The 23,842-nt window shown below is 35.2% G+C and overlaps 1 long non-coding RNA gene across 1 annotated transcript in view, besides 1 other annotated feature; it reads left to right on the top strand.

Annotated features, from left to right (window-relative positions):
• Positions 1-431, top strand: part of LOC105374007 (uncharacterized) — a 175,630-nt gene extending 175,199 nt beyond the window's left edge. The window contains exon 5 of the long non-coding RNA XR_001740463.2: positions 282-431. This is a non-coding gene — a long non-coding RNA (uncharacterized LOC105374007). The remainder of the gene's footprint in view (positions 1-281) is intronic.
• Positions 4,440-4,579: an enhancer, noted in NCBI's record as "active region_20145". NCBI's record gives its function as "activates an Ori minimal core promoter by ATAC-STARR-seq in GM12878 lymphoblastoid cells {active_cell/tissue: GM12878}" and the evidence as "EXISTENCE:reporter gene assay evidence [ECO:0000049][PMID:35858748]".

The following is a 23,842-nucleotide window of genomic DNA, read 5'->3' as shown; positions in this document are numbered from 1 at the left end:
ATGAAGTAACTTATAAAGCATGTCTCAAAACAGAAGGATTTTATCCCAGATAGATAAGATAGTTAATTCCCCTTCCTCTTATTACTTTCCCCTGTGTCTATGAACACACTGACTAACTTTTCCCTATGGCTTGGCACAATACATGAGTAGAGGAGGCGATGTGGAAGGATAAAAACATTACTCAGGCACATGCTACGAAACTTTCTAACAGTTGGCAAGACTCAGTCTGACCTTCATGTTGAATTTTGCTGTAGTTTTAATCACTTTACCATCACTTGCAGGAGAGAAAGCATCGTTAAAAATGCCCTATTTAGGGAAAACTTCAGAGCCAAGACTAGATGTATGTTCTCATTATTTCACATGTTGTCAGAGTAACCAGTACAGTGAAAAGACAGCCTTTTGAAGAAAACAAGTTTGTGGAAAGTGCTTAATTAAGGTAGGAGGACATTTTATTGCAATTATTTATATTTGTTATTAATATTTTTGACATTTCATATTTATGCAGCAATAAATACAATATATGTGAGTTTATTGCATCCAAAACTTTACTTCTAATTTTCTACCACTGTATACCAAAGCCCTTGTAAATTCTATGTCTTTTGCAAGAATTTTTGGACTATCTACTGTATTCTTTATGTTTCTGTGTAGTTGGCAGATTTTTTTTTACTATAACTGGGATCCCATTTGCAAAAATTATTAACTCACATATAGCATGTTAAAAGATTTTCTAATGTGTTTGTTGATCAAAGGTAAGCTTAACTTTTTCTCTGTATGACGACTAACACCCATAGGATAAAGCATTTGATTTTATAGTGATCATTACTACCGTCATTCATTTTATTTACTGTTCTTTTTCCTAATTTTGAAAATATCAAGCCTGTAGAAAAGTTGCAATAAAGGCCCTTCAATTAGATTTACTAGTTGTTAACATTCAGTTGTTTGGAAGTTAATTGCAGACATCATGACACTCACTGCCAAATACTTCAGCATTTCACTCCTTAAAGGAGAACATTCTCCCACAAATCACAATATAATTATCACTACAATAATTAACATTGATATAATGCAATTATCTAAACCCAGTACATATTCAAATTTCCAGAGTTGTCCCAAAGAAATCTTTCTTTCATGCCCCTCCTTTCAGAATCCAATAAAGAATCATACATTGCACTTAGTTTTCAAGTCTGTCTATCCCCCTTTAATCTAAAGTAGTTCCTAGCTTTTAAAAAATTTCATGATACTAATATTTTTAGAGTCCAAACCTTTTTTCTACACACTATACCCTAAAATGAGTATTTTCTCATAATTAAATTCAGGTGAAACATTTATGGCAGGACTAATACACAGGTGATGCTGTGTCCTTCACAGAACAGCCTATCAGAAGTACACGATGTCAGTGTGTCCCAGTTTGGAGAATTTAGCTTGATTACTTGGTTAAGGCATGTCTGCTGAATTTCTTCATTGTAAAGATGCTCTTTTCTTTTTGTGATTAAGTAATCTGTGGGATAATACTTTGAGACTGTGCAAATATCTTGCTCTCCAATGATTCTAACCCTGATGGTTTTGGCATCCATGAATTCATACTGCTTGAATCAATCGTTACTACAGTGTCAGCAAATGATTTTCTAATTTCATCATTTCTTCCATATTTACTAGTTATGTTTCTATAAAAAGGAGCTTTTCATTCATTATCTCTTCAACATTTGAAATTACTATTTTGAGGTATCATTAAGAGCTATTAATTGCAAAGGAGTACAGTTGAGTTTTCACTTGTTATGTAACCGGGTTCAGAATAAATTCTGTGAAACTATTGGCCCAGTTTATTAGAGATTCCTTCTTTGTTTAAAGTATTGTAATTTACTCCACTTATTATTTGTTATAGTGCACAAATTGTCCCAAATTTGGCAGTGGAAGCCCTGCTAAGCTCTGCTATTCATTTCAATTGCCCTATCCACTTAACTTCATCATTGGAAATTGGTTTTCAAGACATTTTTAAATAAACTGTAGTCCAATTGTTTGTAGTGATGCTTCAACCCCCTTATCAAATTTATTTTTACCTGTGAAATGTCATATAATGTTTCAGCTCCAACATGTCAAGAAATTGGAAGTTTTCACTCCTGTCATTATAAGATAAAAATTAAACATACTGAACCCCATGACCTTTCTCAGGCCCAGTAGAGGCCTGAGGTCACATGTTGAATTGTCACCTGCAAACCAGGTAAATTCAGAGTTACTACCAAGATCTGCTTGCCTGGAGCAGAAGTCCCAGCAATAAATTTATAGCAACACTTATATGGCAAACTTGATGAATTGTACATGCTGAGTGTGGATAAGCATATGGATGAGAAACTCCTAAGGAATACAGTGTTAGCTCCACCACCCTCCAACCACTTTCTTGGGCTTTACCTTCAGGAACTCCACTAGACTCTTACGGTAGAGTCAAGAAAGATCCCCTTGTAGCTTTGGCACAAGGGGAAAAAAGTGACTTACCCAAAGCAATCACCATACAAAGGCTCACCCTCCAAGGTAAAAGATATTACTAGAGCCTTATCCCAACTGGGAAAAAAGCATCTACTCCTCTCTAGCTCTTTCTAGCCACCTTGTTTCATATAAGTGGCGAGTAAAGCTAAGAAATACTTGTTAAGGTCACAGCTGAGTGACACAGGCCCATGTAAAGACTGAGATTTAATTGTAAAATTATAGAATGGTCCTTCCCCCTCCCCAACACCTTACCAACACACCAACACACCAACAGAACACAGTATAACAAAGAATTATAGCTGAAAGAGGCACAAGACACAGACTCTCTCTGAGGAGGAGTTCTTACGGAAACCAAAAAAAAAAAAAAAAAAAAAACACAGGGGAGACAAGCAATATATATAGAGGGGTTTGCGACCTCTGGTATGTACAAGTACAGAAAACATTAAACACAGCCCAACCCCTAGCCAGATTAGCCTAAAATCTTACACTAAAGGCCAATTACAAAGCATGCTAAAAGAAATGTAAAATGAAGATGAAGGGGGGGGTGGCCTGCCCCTCCACACCTGTGGGTCTTTCTCGTTGGGTGGGACGAGAGACTGAGAAAAGAAAGAGACACAGAGACAAAGTATAGAGAAAGAAAAGTGGGCCCAGGGGACCGGCGCTCAGCATACGGAAGACCCGCGCTGTGCGCTGGCACCGGTCTCTGAGCTCCCTCAGTATTTATTGATCATTATCTCCACCATCTCGGAGAGGGGGATGTGGCAGGACAATAGGGTAATAGTGGGGATAAGGTCAGCAGGAAAACACGTGAACAAATGTCTCTGTGTCATAAACAAGGTTAAGAAAAAGGTGCTGTGTTTTGATGTGCACAGACATAAACATCTCGACGCATTAAAGAGCAGTATTGCCGCCAGCATCTCACCTCCAGCCTTAAGGTGGTTTTCTCCTATCTCAGTAGATGGAAAATATAATCGGGTTTTACACCTAGACATTCCATTGCACAGGGACGAGCAGGAGACAGATGCCTTCCTGTTATCTCAACTGCAAAGAGGCCTTCCTCTTTTACATGCAAGAGAAAAACCCATATAACAAAGAGTCCTCTTTTTATGAAGACATTTTCCACCTTCAGTTGAATTAAGATGAAATTACACAGAAAAATCATTTGTTATATTTGTGCTATAAAATGTCATATGTAACATCTGATTTATGACTACAAAGATCAATACAATGGCTCATTTAACATGAGGAAAATTTAATTAATAATTCAGTACTAGAGCAAACAAGAAGTATAATTAAAGAAATACCATTAAAAAGACTTGTCAATTGAACAAAAAGCTGACTGTTTTCCTTAGGAATGGAGAAACTAAAATGAAACATTTGCATTGAAGGGACCTGCTGGCTTTATAATCACATCTGCTAACCAGTCTGCATCCTTGGCTCACAAAGATCCCCATGACTGCTAAAAAAATAAAAGCAATGCTTTCAAAAACATTTCCCCTTCATGTAACCTAGCATATTTCAGCAGTCCGTGTTCCCAAAACTTGTGGTTGAAAAAATCTCAACTTCATGCCTACATTTCCTGAAAAGAAGATCAGCCCAGGGGTGAATCAGTAACACATGAAGCTTGCTCTCCAGACACAAATAGAAATACACATCAGAAAAAAACACTGGCATAAAGATGACAGAAACCTCATCATGTTGAGTTGAGAAGTCAATCCTATTATTAGTTAACAGAGATTGAGCGTCCTTTGGCACTGGATGGTGCCAACACCATTGCTAGGTGCTGTAGAGAACATAGAATTAGGCAAAGTCTTGCCCAGGGGGTTCATAATCACATCAGACAAACCAGACACTAACACAGTCCAGCAGTCTGGAGTGGAGAGAGCTGAGCTTACATGGGGAACCTAAGGTCAATCTGTCCATGAGAATTCTCAGTTTCACTCCAACTCTCTTGTGTCAGAAAAATCTGGGGAAAAACCTTTGACATACTATCATGTGATTTCCATTTCAACGTCACCCAGGAAGCCTGTTTTGCAAAGGAGTACAGTTGAGTTTTCACTTGTCATGTAACCGGGTTCAGAATAAATTCAGTGAAACTATTGGCTTAGTTTATTAGAGAAGGAAGGAAAAACTCACAAGGCCAGAGTTATTAGGAGGAGAAGTAAAGTTATGTAGGTGAACATCCCACAGAGAAGCCTGGGGGCCAGACTTCTGCTGAGCCTGTATTACATACTGTATAGATGACCATTTGGTGGTGGGTCTATTCTTACCTCCACTCTGTCATGAAAAGTCAAGGTTACATAAACGATATTGACAAGTGAGCTGGGCTGCTTGGCACCAGGTAGTCTGAATTTGACTTGTCAGTTGTTAACAGAAGATTTCTGGATGTATCAGTAACCCAGCTATTAGAAACACTGGAACCCGTCTGATATTCATAACATGAAAAACAGGATGTTGCTGTTCACATGGGAGTCTGAGATTAAAAAGCAGTAGTATGCATGTGAAAACTCTTCTCAAGGTTGGGTTAGATCATTTCCTGTCCTCCTATAGCACTTTAGTACTCACCACCATCATAGAATTAATACTCTGTGTTAAGGTAATTGCCTATTTGTATCTCTCCTTAGCACTTAGACAGTACATGATACATGGCAGGTTCCAATACAAATTTATAATAAATAAATGCTGTAACGAATGTAAGCAAGCTGTAACTCTGCATACTCTTTGAATTTCTGAAAAGAATTCAAGTATGATAAGTTTCAAAAATCTTCACACAGTCCTCCAATATCCTAACTTTTTTTTTTTAAAGACAGCCCATGGGCCCCAGTTTTACATTTAAAATGTAGGATGTTTTTCATAGTTGGTTGGAATAACAAGAGTATCAATTTCCTCATCTAGTCCATAGTTCCATGTATACATAACCAGGTATGCATTGTATACATGGAATTCCTTCATGCTATTTTTTTTGTATATAACAGTGCCTATGTAATTTGAACTCAGAATAGTAACTGTTTGTGAATTTAAGAGCCATGTGGTATTTAAATAACAATTCTACTTCTTTAAAGTTCCTTCAAGATATTTTGCAGATTTTTAATAGAGAAAATGACTTTTAAGAAACCATGTGTGAAGGTAATATAGACAGACTAGCTTCCAGTAAGAGTAATGGATTCTTATCCAGACTGCCTCGGAGTCCATCAGCTGGTGACAGACAGAAGAGCAGAAGTGTGCCCCAAATGTCATGTAAACATGTTAGTTCTAACAACTAAGCCAAACCCAACATTGCTGAAGCTAAAGTGAATTAAAGGACCTGCCATACATATGTGGGTTATTCCCCCTCCCTGAGAAATAGGGCATGGGAAAAGTTTGGCTTTCTGAAAACATCAAAAATAGCTAGAAAGGAAATATTTCTTTAGTTCTCTAATGGGCTGAAAAGGTAGAGGTTTATAATTTAATCTTAAACCAGTCTCTCATATCTAATATTTTGGGAAAATGCTGTCTTGTGCTGGGTTGAAGACCCTTTTTAGAGATTTTTTCATTAATAAGCAAACAGATTGGTCTTTTTTAAGTGCAAGATCTTTACGCTTGGGTATGACTGTTTTCCTGGATTTAAAATAATTCCCATGTACTTTATTTCAGTTGTGTGGAGAAAAGTATATTTTACAGAAACACTCTTTTCTAGGAAATAAAATACCATGGAAGAATTATATAACTGGAACACAATTTCAAAAATCAACTTATCTAATCTACACGTTTAGACATTAGAAATCTTTGGTTGTGAAAGTTAATACCCAAGGTCATATGGCTTCTGAGTGGTGTTACTGGACAAGAACTTATGTCCAATGCTGTACTCCTTTCTTTAAAAATAATTATTCTTTGGGAGGCCAAGGCGTGTAGATCATGAGGTCAGGAGATTGAGACCATCCTGGCCAACATGGTGAAACCCCGTCTCTACTAAAATACAAAAAATTAGCCAGGCGTGGTGGCGCTCGACTGTAGTTTCAGTTACCCCAGAGGCTGAGGCAGGAGAATGGCATGAACCAGGGAGGCGGAGGTTGCAGTGAGCCGAGATCACACCTCTGCACTCCAGCCTGGCAAGACTGTCTCAAAAAAAAAAAAAAAATTGTTCTATTGTTTCTTAAACTTTTAATGTTGAGATAATTATAGATTCGTGTGTGGTTGTAACAAATGACACAGAGAAGTTCAATCTACCCTTTATCCAGTTTTCCCCAATGTTAACATCTCACAAAACTATACTGTAATATCACAATCAGAATACTGACATTGATACAATAGACATATAGAACATTTACATCACAACAGGGATTCCTCATGTTGCTTCTTACAGCCACACCCACTTCCCTCTTACCCCATTCAACTCCTTAATCCCTGAAAAGTAATTATAGTAATTTGTTCTTTATTTCTATTGTATTGTCATTTTAAAAATGTTATATGAATGGAGTCATACAGTATATAACCTTAGAAACTGATTTTTTTTCACTTGGTTTAATTTTCTGGAGATTCATTGAGACTGTCATGTGTATCAGCAATGTTCCCCCCACCTCCTTTTTTTTTCTTCTGAGTACTCTGTGCTATGATTGTATCACAGTTTGTTTAACCATTTACCTGTTGAGGGAACATCTAGGTTGTTTCCAGTTTTGGGTTAATATGAATATATTTGTGGTAAACATTCAGTAGAGGTTTTTTGTGTACATAAGTCTTTATTTCTTTGGGATAAATTCCCAAAAGGTTCCCAAAGGTATAACTTATGGGTTGTATGATAAGCACATTTTTAATTTTAGAAGAAACTGTCAAACTTTTTCGTAGTGGCTGGACAATTTTACATTCCCACCAGCAATACGTGAGTGATCTAGTTTCTCTATACCCTTGCCAGCATTTTGCATTGTCACTACTCTTATATTTTTATAATTCTAAGAGGCAGGTAGTGATATCTCATTGTGGCTTTAATTTGTATTTCCCTAATGACAAATGAAGTCGAATATTTTTCCATGTGATTATTTTCCATCTGTGTATCTTTGTATCTTCAGTGAATGGGTCTTTATACCCTTTGCCCATGTTCTAACTGGATTTTTTGGTTTGTTTGTTTATTTATTTATTACTGTTTAGTTTTGAGGGTTATTTATACATGTAGATATGGATCCTTTGTCAGATATGTGGCTTACACATATTTTCTCCCAGTCTCTAGTAGGTCTTTTCATCCTCTTTACAAGGTCTTTCACAGAACAAAAGTTTTGAACATTGGTGAGGTACAGTGTACCAGTGGTTTCCTTTATAAATTGTGATTTTGGTATCAAGTCTAAGAACTCTTTGTCTAGGTTTAGATTCCAAAGATTTCCTTCTATGTTTTTATATAATTCTTATAATTTTATGTTTTAATTTATGGCCATGATCTATTTTAAGTTTATTTTTATATAAGGTATGAGACTTAGGTTGAGGTTTATTTTCTTCCTAAAAATATCCAACTGCTCCGGGACTATTTTTTGAAAACACTGTCTTTCCTCCATTGAAATAGTTAGCACATTTAGCAAAAGTCAATTGGCCATATTTGTATGAGTCTATTTCTGGGTTTTCTATTCTGTTTCAATTTATCTATCTATCCTCTACATTACTCACAGTCATGATTATTATAGGTATAGAATATGTCTTAAAATTGGGTAGACCAATTCCTCTCATTTTATTTATCTTTTTCAACACTGCTGTAGCTATTCCAATTCTTTTGCCATTTCATATTCATATTTCATAATAATCTCTATTTTTACAAAAAAACTTGTTAGTGTTTTTATTTTTTATTTTTTTAATTTTAATTTTATTTTATCTTATTGTTTTCGAGATGGAGTCTCTATCGCCCAGGGTGGAGTGCAGTGGCGCGATCTCGGCTCACCGCAATCTCTGCTGCCTGGGTTCAAGCAATTCTCCCTCAGCCTCCCCAGCAGCTGGGACTACAAGCCTGCGCCCCCAGGCCCGGGTAGTTTTTTGGTATTTTTTAGTAGAGATGGGGTTTCACCATGTTGGCCAGGCTGGTCCCGAACTCCTGACCTCAAGTGATTCGCCCGCCTCGACCTCCCCAAGTGCCGAGATTACAAGCATGAGCCACAGTGCCCAGCCAGGGTTTTTATTATAATGGTTTTTCTTTAAAACTGCACATCAATGCGGGAGAAATGAATCTTCCAATGCACGAACAAAGTATGTCTTTCTGTGTAAGTCATTGATTTATTTCATCTGAATTTTTAAATTTTCAGCATAAAAAAAATTCCTTTCAATGGCAAAAACCACAATTACTTTTGCACCAACCTAATAGATCCTGTGCATGTCTTGTTAATTGTATACTTAAGTATATAATTTTCACTGGAGTGCAATGTAAATGGTATTGTTTAATTTCAGCGTTCATTGATAGAACATAGAAATATACTTGATTATGTACTTTTACCCTTTAGCTTATAACCTTGCCTAACTCACTTATTAGTTTAGGAGTTTATTTTGGGGAGAATTTCTCGGGATTTTCTATTATTAGCAAACCAACCTTTGGAATACAGAAAATTCAGTTCCTTCCCAAAGTGAACCGGCACTCTTCTCAGTCCATTCTTTCTAGGTAGTCACTTTATTTGGAAAAGGAAATTCTATGGAGTTGCGATCATGCCTTTAACTTCTTTGTAGTTCGCTCAATGCCTGCTACTGCTATAGGAATTATAGCATAGTGACTAAAAGTTAGGCTCTGAAATCAGACTGGGATTTCAAAGCCTATTAAGGGATCAAATCCTGACCTAATCCTATACTGATCTATCTGACCTTGTGTATGCTTCCTAAATTCTGTATGTTTTCTCAGCTGTAAATAAAGATAATAATAATATATCTCTCACTAGATTATGTAGGGTTAAATGGAATAAAGCATTTAGCATGAGGACTAACATGGAGTAAGTGTGTGGTACAGATTTAGCTGGTTACTAATATAATATGCTAATATATTTTACATGATTAATATAGATACAGACATTAATAAATACTTATTGAATAGCTCTTATATATTTTCCACTATGCTTTGGCTTTAAGCATTGCCTTGGAATTCATTTAAAACTTGCTTGGTATTTCCTGTCACAGAGAGAGAACTCAAGTAGTTTTGAGTGGTGAAGATTCTTCCACTATGTGTCACCATATTTTTCAATGTATTATTTCGGTCAACAGATTCCAACTAAATGGGGGGTTTTAAAAAACAAATTCAGTTGGTTTTCTGAAACACAAAGATGTGCAAATGAACAATTTCTGATAATTCAAGTAATTTTAGACAGACAAGGAAACCTATTTTAGAAGTTTCCAGAGGAGCTGTCTGTACTACTCAGATTTATCCAAAGTTCTTTCTCACTTTGGCAGTATAGACCTGATTCTAAACATACCATGAAATAAGCTGTACATTTGGCTTAAAGGTTATTCTATTCAGTCCAAAATGGTCTCAAAATTATTAGCTAAATACACATTGACTTGGAAGGAAGAAGAAAAAGAACTCAAGTAAAACATGTTTTTTATTGCCAAAATCTGAGTTTTCTTTCAGTGCCTGCTATAACCTCAGTAATACCCAGGGCAGGCAAGAGGCAGGTGTTCTTTACACTATAAGTGCTAGTGATGATGTAAGTTGTAGTGGGAAACAATACAGTACTTTTTAAAGCTCTCATTGGTTTTAAAAAACGAAGAAAAGGGTTTTCAATATTGAGTCTTAAAAATATTTATTTGCAAATTATCCTATTTTTTCTTGCTTCTTTTGTTTTGAATTACATCTTGTAGTTACAACTGTAGGTTTTCAAAATGTTCTCACTATCATGGTTTCTACTTGCATGCTTTCAGGACACTGGCATTTATTTTTGACATTTATGAGACGAGAAATGGTCACAGAAAACTAGATGACTTTGCTTCACAAACATACTGAAAACAAACAAGGAGCATCATTCCCACCAAGTGCTGAAGCAGCATATACTTTAATGCCTTATTTTGGTCGAGCCAATATTTTGGTCAAGTGATAATGGGTAAAAAATAATTTAATACTATACCATTGATTTTACTGATAAGACAAAGCAAGAGGCTACAAGCAAATGCTGATAGTACTCCAAGGAAAAATGATTCCACGGACCATGTTAGCACGGTAATTTCTAGTGTCATCATGATGCCTTTCTAGTCTCTTTTTATTCAGTGATTCATATAGTAAAGAACTGCTGCCATGTTTCTAAGTTTAGGAAAATATTAACTTATCCACAGAAACTTCCCAAGAGACTCAATATAATTTAAAGGTCCTATATGTTATAAATGTTAAGACCTAGATACTACTTCTATATAAAATATTTTTTCATAGTCTATTAAGTTTTTAAAATAGATTTATTATTATGGAAAATAATTGGACATCATAAAATGTTTTTAAAACACCAAAGTATAAAGAAAATAAAGGTAAACTATAATCCTATAGCCAAATAATAACAGGAGTTGATATTTTGTAGGATATCTTTTCAAGTGCTTTTCTGTTCTATACATAAAAATAATTATTTTTAGGAAAAATTAGATTATACTATAAATTATTTTATAACAATTTTAAACAAATAACCCTTCGTAAGCATTTTAATGTCAATGTTTATCTACATATCATTTTTAGTGTCTATAAAATATTTATCATTTATTTAGCCAAGTCTCAAATGATTAACAGTTGAGCTTTTGTGTGTGTGTGTGTGTGTGTGTGTGTGTGTGTGTGTGTGTGTGGGAGCAGGTATTGTTAGAAACAATCCAAAAATGAGAAACTCATATATATATCTTTGTGAAACTCTTTTGTTATTTTCTTAGGGTGAGCTCCTAGAAATGGAATTATTGGATCTAATGGGAAATGTTTCTAAAGAGTTTGGCAGTTATTGAGAAACTGTCCTCCAAATAGTTTGTATCTATTTATGCCTCCAACAATACTGTATTAGAAAGCACATTTCCATATACATTATTGTTATCAAAAGCTATTATTCAGCTTTTTATTTTTTGCCAAACTTGTGAATGGAAAATAACAACAGTAAGTTGCATTGGAATAAAAGTTTATATTTAATTCTAAAATTTTACTTATTCATTCACTATTTAACTACTTGGTGATTACCCTTAATGATTAAATTCTGTAGCTTATGCTTGGTAATGGTGGTGGGAATGGCTTGCTAGAACTACACATATTTTAAATATAGAATAATTACTTTTTGAAGTTCCTCAATTTCTTCCAAATTCAGAACATCATCAGATAGATTTTTCTTGTGCAGACAATTTATGTTTATTTAGACTACTTGGTTTTTATGGGAGGGGCGGGGGAGAAAAAACATAGATTAGATAATAAAATAGTAATTTTATATTTTATTAGTATTTATTGAGAGCTCTGTGGTCCAAGTGCTAAATTAAACATTTCACATGAACTGTCTATGTTTTCCTTACATAACCTCATGTAGTGGTAGTAAAATGTTCCTGTTGTAAAAGGTGTCATGGCCCTAAATGATAACAACCATAATTTGAGTCCAGGTCTGTGTGGAATCCAGAGCTTGAACGATTAATTACAGCAACATCCTGCTTTCTCTGAAGTGGTCTCACGCTAACGATGATATGAATTGATTCTTTCTTGATGATGGAAGAATGAGATAATTAATGCCAGCACATGCTACATCTGGTAGCAGCATTTTATTCTCTCATCAGAAAGTTAAAGAATGAAAAGGGAGGAGATTGCCTGCTATTTTTTTTTAACTTCCTTTAGTTCCCTCTCTTGCTGCCAGATTTCTGTTTAAGCCAGTCACGCAGGGCACGGTGGTTGTGTGAGAGCCGATACACTTCTTTTCCCACAGGCACTCATTCATCCTTGTTCTGTTTTCTTCATCTCAGGGGCACTGTATAATCTGCCGGGCCTAACTCATTACTCATCCTGGAGCCTGTCAATCCTCCAGAGGTCAGATCATTGGCTTTGGTGGTTATGTGGTCCTTGGTCTCTGCCCTCTGGGAGCTGAGGGTGAGAGAGTCTGTCACACCTGAAAACACAAATCCTGCTGCCTTTCAAGCCACCAGTCCTGCTGTGATAGACAAGCTACATTTTCTTCCCATTCTATAGAAAGCAGCGGAACACCAGCTAAGATGTGGTATAAACTCCTGATTGTTTACAGGCTTACAGAGCCTGTGGAATGAATGCATAACTGTCCACAAATATCTTCTAGTATTTAACCTTCATTTATTTTCCTTCATGGTTTAAATTTTCCATTGTGAGGGGGAAACTCCTGGATCTCTAGCAGTGCTTGCTGAAAAATGTTAATTTCCCCTCATATTTTCACATCCTCAAGACTAGCACAGAACAGGAATTTCTCATAGCTAGAATTATATTGACTTATACGAGAGAGACTTTGTTTGCTCATTTAACAAATATTAAATGAGAGCTGACTGTATGCCAGACACTACTGAAGGCATAGAGGACTAAACCATGCAGACTAGATCCCCTCTCAAGGGATGGCATTGGGATAAGGAGGCAGCGATAATCAAATAACTGAATAAATAAGATTAGTGGTGCATGCTATGAAATAAGACAGAGTGTTGTAATAGAAAGTGTTGGGGAGGCCAGTGAGGAAGGGCTACTTATAAGTGAATGTCAGTGAGGAGGTGACCTCTGAGCTAAGGCTTAGTGACTAGAGGAACCAGCTATGCAAAGGCCTGGAGGAAGAGAATTCCAGCATGAGGGATCAACAGGAGCAAAGGCCTCAAGAAAGGAAATATCTTAACCTACTCTAGAAGGGCAATGTGGCAAGAGCATAGAGAGATGGGGTAAAGCTGGGAGAAGTCATAGATAAGAATAGGGTCAATCATGTAGAACCTAATGGACCATGAAAAAGAGTGAATTTTGTTCTAAATGCAGTAGGAGGCTACTGGAGATTTTGATATGGAGATTTAAACAACCCATTTCATATTTTCATAGCACTACTCTGAGTTTTTTATAAATTATAGAGGAGCTCAAGTAGAACAAGATTTCATAATAATCAAAGCTAGAGATAACAGTGGCTTAGACCAAGGTGAAAAATGGTAGAAATGAAAAGAAGTAAACAGATGTGAAATATATTTTTTAAATGGAGCCAAGAGTTTTTGTTGATGGATTGATGACGTCTACTAACACGAGGAAGACTCCGGAAAGAATAATTGGCAGGGGGTGGGATTTAAGACCTCTCTTAGGTAGAACTAAAATTGATAGGTGCTTTAGAAATTCAAGTGAGAATGTCAATCGTGTAGCTGGGCTAAATGGTACTTAGTTAAGGTTAGAGTTTGGAGAACATCTTTCAATTAATTAAATCCAAAATGAAGAGAATCTCAAATGAAAACATGCATAAGTTTGGTATGGGGAAAAAACTTCTCAATCTAACATCTCTGTTTCTGTCACTGACACCATTTTTCTCATTATCCATATTCAAAAAGTTATATTGAATTCCTTTTCTCCCCTTCACTTCCATATTTAGACACAGTATTTATCATCATGGTATTTATCTGCTCCAAGATCTTTGATGACTCTCGATTGGATAAATTATTTAGCCTTCTAGACCTGCATCTTTATCTATTTTCCAGCTTTCTTTCTTCTATCCCCTATCATGAACTCTTGGCTTCAACTGAATGTATCTCTCCAACTGGAATCTACTTGTGCCATATCTGCTTCCTTGTCTGAGGTGGCTTTTCCACTCCTCTTAGCTGAGTCTTACCTGCCTTTTGAGGTCCAGATAAAATTCTACCTCCTCCAAAAAATACTCCTTGGGTTCTCTCAAACCTATAGACAATGTTTGTCTTATCATTTGGACCATCGTTTTCATGATCACTCTGTAATTAAGTGTGTGGTATTGATAACTGTCCATTACTCTCTTCCATGTCATGTCTATTCAGGAAATCATATGCTTCTTTAGGCTAGAAATTTGACATATCTCTTGATAATTAACAATTGCTGGCCAAGTGAATTTGAAATTCAACTTAACCATGTAGTTTCCTTTGAAACATAGCTGAGACTATATATTTAAAATACAGTCACCTCTTGATATCCTCGGGGGATTGCTTCTAGGACGCCCCTCATGTACCAAATTCCTCTGATGCTTAAGTCTGTTATACGATATATGCAGGTTATATACAAATACTTTGACATTTTATATAACAGACTTAAGCATCAGAATCGTTTTTTTTCTGAATATTTTTGATCTGGATTTGGTTGAATCCACAGATGTGGAACCCATGGATATAAAGGGCTGACAGTACTTCATTAAAGAACAAAGCAAAACAAGTAAATCTTAGGTGGGGATTGAATGAAAGAGCATGTAATTTGAACACAGAAGGCTCACAGAAATTTTATGAGGTTTTACTAAGAAAATGTATATAAAAATCCTTTGTACCTGGCCGGGCGCAGTGGCTCATGCCTGTAATCCCAGCACTTTGGGAGGCCGAGGCTGGCGGATCACAAGGTCAGGAGATCGAGACCATCCTGGCTAACATGGTGAAACCCCGTCTCTAGTAAAAATATAAAATATTAGCCGGGCATGGTGGCAGGTGCCTGTAGTCCCAGGTACTCGGGAGGCTGAGGCAGGAGAATGGCGTCAACCTGGGAAGCAGAGGTTGCAGTGAGCTGAGATCACGCCACTGCACTCCAGCCTGGGCGACACAGTGAGACTCCGTCTCAAAAAAAAAAAAATCCTTTGTACCTATAAATTACCATCTCAAATTATTCTTAGCATGAAGGATTCATGAAGTGAAACACTTGGGCATCCATATTGCAAATTTTAATGGCTTGGCTGGCACTATACCTTTGTCTCTGGCTCCATAGGACATTTTTCTTATACTCTGAACTCCTTTCATTTTTAATTAAAATGTTTAGAATTAAATAGCTGAAGTTTATCACCATTGAATTAATGTTTATTACTATCTCCTTGTGTTGTTTTATTCATCCCGTTTGAATTGGAAAAAAATGCAGATATTAATTAGTGGCAAGCACATTTAACACACTCTGAAATATGCATCCTCTAACTCTTTTCTGAATCAATCCACCAAACTCTCAACCAGATTTTGAAGAAGCCTGATTGAGAAGACATGCTGCACCCCTTAATCATAAAAATTCACACATCAGCTTTGGTCTCTTTGAAGTTTTCTGCAGAAGCCAGAGGTAGAAAAACCACCTTTCATACTTTCTTGTTTGTTCACAAGTAATGAAACACTTAAGAATTGAGATAACATATATACATGCTTCCTTCAGTTTATGCTGACAGTATACGCAAGGCGAAAGCAAAATATATAGCATCTGTGTTAAGAATGTAAGCTGGCCCTCCAGCAACGTGGAGTCAGACCGAGCTTGACAGCATGGGCCAGAGGGAACCACATCCTGTGGGAAACCCTAACAGCATCCACTGCTCTGACAGCATTTCACTTCCACCCTATTGCTGTTTGACTAAACAATCTCTTAAATGTTAATGGCCTTCTCCAGAGCTGCAGAGGAATTGCTAGTATACTGAGGGTAATTTTTAAAAAGTCATTATAATAAACTGTACTTGAGTCTGTTTCAGGTTTTTAACTGTGTGCTAAGGGACAAAGGGAGCTATCAATAAAGTGAAATAACATAACAGAACGACAGACAAAATCACTTGGCTATCTCAATAGATGCAGAAAAGGCTTTCAATAAAATTCAGCACCATGGAATACTATGCAGTCATAAAAATAACAAGATCATGTCTTTTGCAGGAACGTGGATGGAACTGGAAGCCATTATCTTTAGCAAAGTAACACAGGGACAAAAAATCAAATACCACATGTTCTCACTTATAAGTGGGAGTTAAATATCCACATGGACACATAGAGGGGAGCAACACACCTTGGGGCCTATCAGAAGGTGGAGGTTGGGAGGAGGGAGAGGATCAGGAAAAATAGCTAATGGGTACTAGGCCTCATACCTGAGTGATGAAATAAGCTGTACAACAAACCCTCATGACACAAGTTTACCTCTGTAATAAACCTGCACATGTACTCCTGAACTTAAAATAAAAGTTTAAAAACAAAGAAATTATCATTTGTTTTACCTGTGAGAGTGTCATTATGGCTACGGATTTTTAAAGTGCTCAAATATGAGAACTTTTCCTCTCAAAATTTGGTTTCAGGATTGCTTATACTTTTAAAAATTATTGAGAATTCTAAGGTTATTAAATTGTTTTATTTTTAATTATTATGTATACATATTAACTGTACATATTTATGATTGGGCTATCTGTCACCTCAAGCATTTATCATTTCTTTGTGGTAGGAACATTCCAATTTCACTCTTTTAGTTATTTAAAAATATGTAATAAATTGATGTTAATTATAGTCACCCTATTGTGCTTCTCACTACTAGATCTTATTCATTCCAACTGTTTTCTGTGCCTATTAACCATCCCTTCTTTATGCTCCACTCCCCACTATCTTTCTCAGCTTCTGGTAAGCATCATTCTAGTGTCTAGCTCACTGAGTTCATTTTGTTTTATCTTTTAGCTCCTACATATGAGTGACAGCGCGTGATATTTGTCTTTTCGTGCCTGGCTTATTTCACTTAACAGGATGGCCTCAAGTTCCACCATGTTGTTGTGGGTGACAGGATTTCATTTATTTCGTGTGTGAATAATATTTCGTTGTTTATATGCTCTGCTTTTTCTTTACCCTCTCATTGATGGCTACTTAGGTTGATTTCTACTTGGCTATTGTGAAAAGTGCTGTAATAAACATGGGAGTACAGATATCTTTTCAATATACTGATTTCCTTCTCTTTGAAGATATATACTCAGCAGTGGGATTGATGGATAACATGGTAGTTCTATTTTTAGTTTTTTGAGGAACCTCCATACTGTTCTCCATAGTGGATGTATTAATTTATATTCCCACCAACAGTGTAAAAGGGTTCCCTTTTCTCAACATCCTCACCAGCATTTGTTATTGCCCGTCTTGTGGATTAAAGCCATTTTAACTGGGGTAAGATGATATCTCATTGTAGTTTTGACTTGCATTTCTCTGATGATTTGTGATGTTGAGCAGTTTTTCTTATACTTTTTGGCCATTTGCATGCTTCCTTTGGGAAATGTCTGTTTATATCTTTTGGATTATACTGATTGATATGCATGTATTCAAATATTTTAAAACTCAAATTAAAACAAAACATTTGTTTATGAATTTATTTAAAATTATGATAAGAATCCAATTACATGTTAACATATTTTTACAAAAAGAAGTACATTTTCCAAAGCAAGAAAAAAAAAAGATAAGTGTGGCATTATTTCATGTTTACAAATCTTTAAGAGTTTTTTTAGTAGAAGACAAATGGAGTCTCATATTTTCTTTTATATTCAATCCTTTGTGATATCACAGGTCATGTAGCCTCTGGAAAACTTCACAAGAATGGAGATAAAAAGGCAACCGCATCTTAGTATTATTATAATAATAATCCCCCTGAAAGGGTCTTAGGGACCACCAGTAGTCAACCAGAGCATGCAAAAAACAACTATATTAGAGATAGATTCTGATATATTTAAAAATGAAAAACAAGATTTTCGGTACTAACTTTACTATAGCTAGGGGTTGGAGAAAGTGATTGAATATGTATTTGACACAATATTTTCCACAATTTAAGAATGGTTTAAACTAGGTGATGAGTACATGGGGTTCATAATACAAATTTCTTTCTGATGTTTAAATTTCCCATTAATAAAAATTTTAAAAAATAAAGTTTGCTTAAAGGAAATAAAGTAAATAACAATACAAGTGTTTTGCAAATGAGGAAGATATTGGACTGTAATACAACTATGATTACAGTATTGAAAATTTTGGATAAGAAAAATAATAATCTTAGTCTGGGAGAATTACCTTAGGAAAATATGAATGAACATATTATGAGCAATATTATATTATTGTAACATTTAAACTTTTTGGAAAGACACACAGTTTTAATTCTTTAATTGAAATTTGGTGAGTTTTTGCCATGAAAGCATCAACAGATATAAAGTTAATATAAATTTTTAAAGTTGGATGAAATGGAGTTAAGAGATGGTTTGTGCTTCAGTTTCCTAGACTATTTGTTTCTTACAGTAGTAATAGTAGTAATTAATAGTTAACAGTTGGCAAGCAAGTCTTCCCTCAGAGAAAACATCAATCTTAAATGATTTTACAGGTAAGTTTTAACAAGCTTTAAGAGATGTCATCATCTAATCTTATGTAAAGTCTTTTAAAGTGTTGAGAAGTATTAGCAAGGGTCATCATTTTATTCTACAAGAATAATGTAAACTCTTTACCCAAACCAGAGAAGAGCAAAAGAAGAAATAAAAAGTATTGGCTCATTTCACCCCTGGATATAGCTGCAAAAATCCTGAACAAAAAATTAGCAAACTGTATTTTAAAATGTATAAAATGCATGATATATCATATATGATGAAATTAAGCTTAATACCTAGAATTCAAGGAAGATTTGTTAAACAGGCTTTATTATATCAGTAGATTAAAGAAGAAACCTGGAAAATTGTGCCAATAGATGAAGGGGAAAAAACATGACAAAATTCTTAGTAAACTAAAATTGAAAGAGAATTTCCTAAATCTGATAAAGACATTCATAAAAAACCTAAATTAACATAATTCAAAATTTGAAAATATTAGAAGCATTTCCTGTAGAACCAGCAACCATATAAAAATACTTGTTATACCACTTCTGTGAGAAATTATATTTGAGGTCCTAGTTAGTACAATAAGCAAATAAAAGCCTAATGATGGGGAAGGAGGAAAAAAACTGCTATGATTTGCAAATGAAGTGAATGTCAACAGAAAAACCTGGTGGAACCTATAGGTGAGTTATTAAAAATTATAAGAGACCTTAGTCAGGTTATTGGATATAAATTCAGCATTCAAAAGTCAAGTGCATTTCTGTATGCTAGGTACAAAACTTAGAGAATGAAATTTTAAAGGGGTAATATTTGCAATAAGAAAAAGAGCTATAAAGAATTTACGGATCAACCAAATAAAAATTTGCAAGATTTATTTACTGAAACTAACAAAACTTTACCAAACAGTACAAAGGAAGATACATGTAAATTGCAAGATATCCTATAGATGAAAAGATAGATCCAATATTGTCAGAATGTCAATTTTCTCCTAAATTATCTCTACGTTCAGTATAATATGACAAGCCTATTCTAAAATTAATTTGGAATAACAAATGGTTGATATATATTTAAATAAGAATATTAAGGCATGGAGGATAGCCAGATGTAATACTTATTGTCGAGCTATAGCAATTAAGGGAGTGGAATATTAATGAAGAAATAGGCAAATTAACCAATGGAAGGGCACACAGAGCCTATAAACACAAATATTTGAACTTTCATGAATGACAAAAGTGAAATGGCTAGTCACTGGGAAAAGAAAGAGGTATTCAATAAATGAAGATTGAAAAATCAGTTATCTGTATGGGAAAAAAAGGAACTTAGTAGATTAAGAAATGTGAAAAGAAAATCCTCATTATTTTAGGTTAAAATATAGCTGAAAGGTTTTCTAAAGAAGACAAATATGTTAACCATAAAAAACTAGTTAAGTTAATTGGGCTACAATTTTAAAATTAAGTTTAAGAAAAAACTCTTAAACATGCTTTCCAGGTACAAACTGGTAGTAGATATCTGTGACAAAAAAGATTACTCTCAAAAACATATCAAGAATGCTTACAATAATAAAAGAAGAAACCTCAAAAGAAAAATCAGTAAAAGACATAAAGAGACCTATTACAGAGAAGGAAACACATGATCACACATGAAGAGATGTTCAGAACTTAAGAAAATAAAACCAAAACCAACATGAGATACCGCTTTACACCCACTTGGCAGAACCTAAGAAAATCTGACAGTACCAAGGCTTGGAGAGAATGTAGATCAGTGGAAACTCATTTACATTGCTGGTGAATGTAAATTGTTACAATGACTTTGGCCAGATTTGTGACTTTTCTTGGTATATTAAATGAACAAATTGTATATCCCAGAAATTCAGAAAAAAAGTTATTTCTGGGCCAGGCACGGTGGCTCACACCTGTAATCCCAGCACTTTGGGAGGCTGAGGAAGGTGGATCACCTGAAGTCAGGAGTTTGAGACCAGCGTGACCAACATGGTGAAACCCTGTCTCTACTAAAAATACAAAAATTAGCCTGGTGTGGTGCACACCTATAATCCCTGCTACTTGGGATTCTGAGACAGGAGAATCTCTTGAACCCAGAAGGCAGAGGTCACAGTAAGCCGAGATTGCACCACTGCACTCCAGCCTGGGCAACAGAGTGAGACTCTGTCTCAAAAAAAAAAAAAATATATATATATATATATATATATATATATATATTTTATATATATATGTATTTCTGTACATACTTAAGAGAAACTTTGAATATGTACTGAAGATATACCAGAAATGTTTTTAGCAAAACTGTTTGTAATAACACAAAATTTGAAAAAAAACAAAATGTTTATTGACAACAGAATGGATTAGTAAATTGGGGCATATTCTTATAGTGCAATACCATAGATGAAAGAATGCAGTTCTATACAATAATATGGATAAATCTTGGTAAAAAATGCTAAGAAAACAACTGACAAGTACTAGCACACTCTGCAAAAGTATGTTTTTTTATGACATTAAAAAATAAGCAATATCCAAAGTATCCATAAATACATATTCAAATACATATCTTCTTATACACATGTTTACACACATATATTTATAGATACATCTATACATATATTTATGTATACATATATTATTTTATATACAGATACACATATATTTATATATGCATGATTAAAACTATTTTCACAAAGAAAGAAAATTATAAATGTACAATTCATTGTGACTTTTTTTTTTGAGACCGAGTCTCGCTCTGTTGCCAAGCTGGAGTGCAGTGGTGCGATCTCAGCTCACTACAATCTCCGCCTCCTGGGTTCAAGCTACTCTCCTGCCTCAGCCTCTCAAGTAGCTGGGACTACAGGCATGCACCACCACGCCCAGCTAAATTTTGTATTTTTAGTAGAGACGGGGTTTCAGCATATTCACCAGGATGGTCTTGATCTCTTGACTTTGTGATTCACCCACCTCAGCCTCCCAAAGTGCTAGGATTACAGGCATGAGCCATTGCACCTGGCCTTTGTGAATATTTTTAATAGGTAATGGGATTCAGTATTCATTTTCTTATTTAACAATGAATGAATGAATGAATGAATACAAATGAGTGGTGCATAGACCAAGGATGATAGTGTGTCATGAGCCAAGAATTATTATTAAATCCATTCTGTTCAGCTTAGTTCCAAAAGTGACAAGAAGAAAACATAATAAAAAATAAAACTGTACAAAACTAGAAAAATATGTAACTAACTGGTCTTGGGATAACGTATGGCTTTTCAAGCATAAGAACATTAAGAAATCATTAGGGAATTATTGGTAAATCTTACTATACATAATTAATATTTGCAAATACCAAAATTGCTGTAAACGTAGTGTAAGAACAAATATTGACCTAGAGGAAAACATTTGCAAATAAGACACATGGTTAAAACTTTACATATGTTAAGAGCACTTATTAATAAGAAACACATTAGCACCACAATAGAAGTGTGAACAATGACCATATAGAGGATTTGGAGAAAAACTATGAAACCCCAGTATGAATTTTTAAATCATGTTTTATTTAAATGAATAGAAACAAAATAACAGTGGTATACTATTTCAAGTCAAGTAAATAAGTCAGAATTCCTTATAAAGGGTAAAGATGATACTGATAAAAAGATGCTCCTACTATATTGCTGGTATAAAAATAAATTTTGACAAGCTGCCAAAATGATGTGATTATGCTTGAAAATTATGCTTGAAAATTCTTCTAGAAATCGGTTTATTTTATAAATATTCATCATGTGACTTTTATGTGCCAATTATTGCAAAGCAGTAGCAATACCATGAAAAATGATCTTAGTTGCTGATCTAATTGACCTTATTGTATAGGGAAGAATGTAAGCATTAATAAAATAATTACACAGAATTGGTAATTACCAAATGTAATTACTTCTGTGAATGTAATGTACACATGTCATGTAAACATATAACAGGAAATCAGAGTTCTGGACATAAGAAGTTTCCCTTGAAAAGTGGTAATTGTCCTGAAACTTAAGGAACACTGAAGAATTAAATAGGCTAAATCAGACATGGTGCAACATGCCTGTAGTCTTAGCTATTTGGCAGGCTGAGGTGGGAGGATCGCTTTAGTTCAAGTCCAGTCTGGTTAAAATAGTGAGACCTTGTTTCTAAATAAATAAATACAGTGAAAAAGGTGAATTCTAAGAAGATTTAGAATAAGATTGGTGATTGAGGCAGTGATGAGATGATCTAGGGATTTGGGGTCCGTAGTAAAGTCTCTGGTCTTTATTCCAAGAGTAACCATTTAGTTTTATAGATTGTGTTGGCTGCTGCATGAGACTAGATTGAAGGAAATTAAGAAGAATTGTAGGAGCTCATTAAAGAGACTGTTTAAAGTATCTAAAAAATAGGTGATTGTAATTTGACTAGGGAAATGAACAGAAAAGTTTGTTGTAGTTTTATTTTATTCAAGTAAACAATGTCTGATATGGTTTGGCTGTGTTCCCAACCAAATCTCTGCTGTTTCCCCACTCAAATCTCATCTGGATTATAATACCCATGTATCATGGGAGGGACCCAGTGGGAGGTAATTTAATCATGGAGATGGTTACCCTCATGCTGCTCTTGCTGTTCTCATGATAGTGAATGACATCTCACGAGATTTGATGGTTTTATAAGGGGCTTCCACCTTTGCTAGGCTCTCATTCTTCTCACTCCTGCTGCCATGTGAAGAAGCATGTTTTTGGTTCCCCTTCCACCATGATTTTAATTTTCCTGAGGCCTTTCCAGCCATCCTGTGCTGTGAGTCAATTAAACCTCTTTTCTTTATAAATTACCCAGCCTTGGGTATTTCTTCATAGCAGTGTGAAAATGAACCAATACTGTAAATTGGTACCATGTATTGGGGTACTGCTATAAGAATACCCCAAAATGTGGAAGTGACTTTGGAACTGGGTAACAGGCAGAAGTTGGAACCATTTGTAGAGCTCAGAAGAAGACAGAAAAATATGGGAAGGTTTTGAACTTCTTAGAGACTTGGAAGGCTCAGAATACAGAAAGAAGCAGCACAGTCTGAAACTTCCTAGAGACTTGTTGAATGGCTTTGACAAAAATGCTGATAGTGATATGGACAATGAAGTCTAGGCTGAGGTGGACTGAGATGGAGATGAGGAACTTGTTGGGAAGTGGAAT

This window comes from Homo sapiens, chromosome 3 (assembly GCF_000001405.40).
Source record: "Homo sapiens chromosome 3, GRCh38.p14 Primary Assembly".
NCBI classification, from domain to species: domain Eukaryota; kingdom Metazoa; phylum Chordata; class Mammalia; order Primates; family Hominidae; genus Homo; species Homo sapiens.
This window is presented reverse-complemented; position numbering and strand designations above follow the sequence as displayed.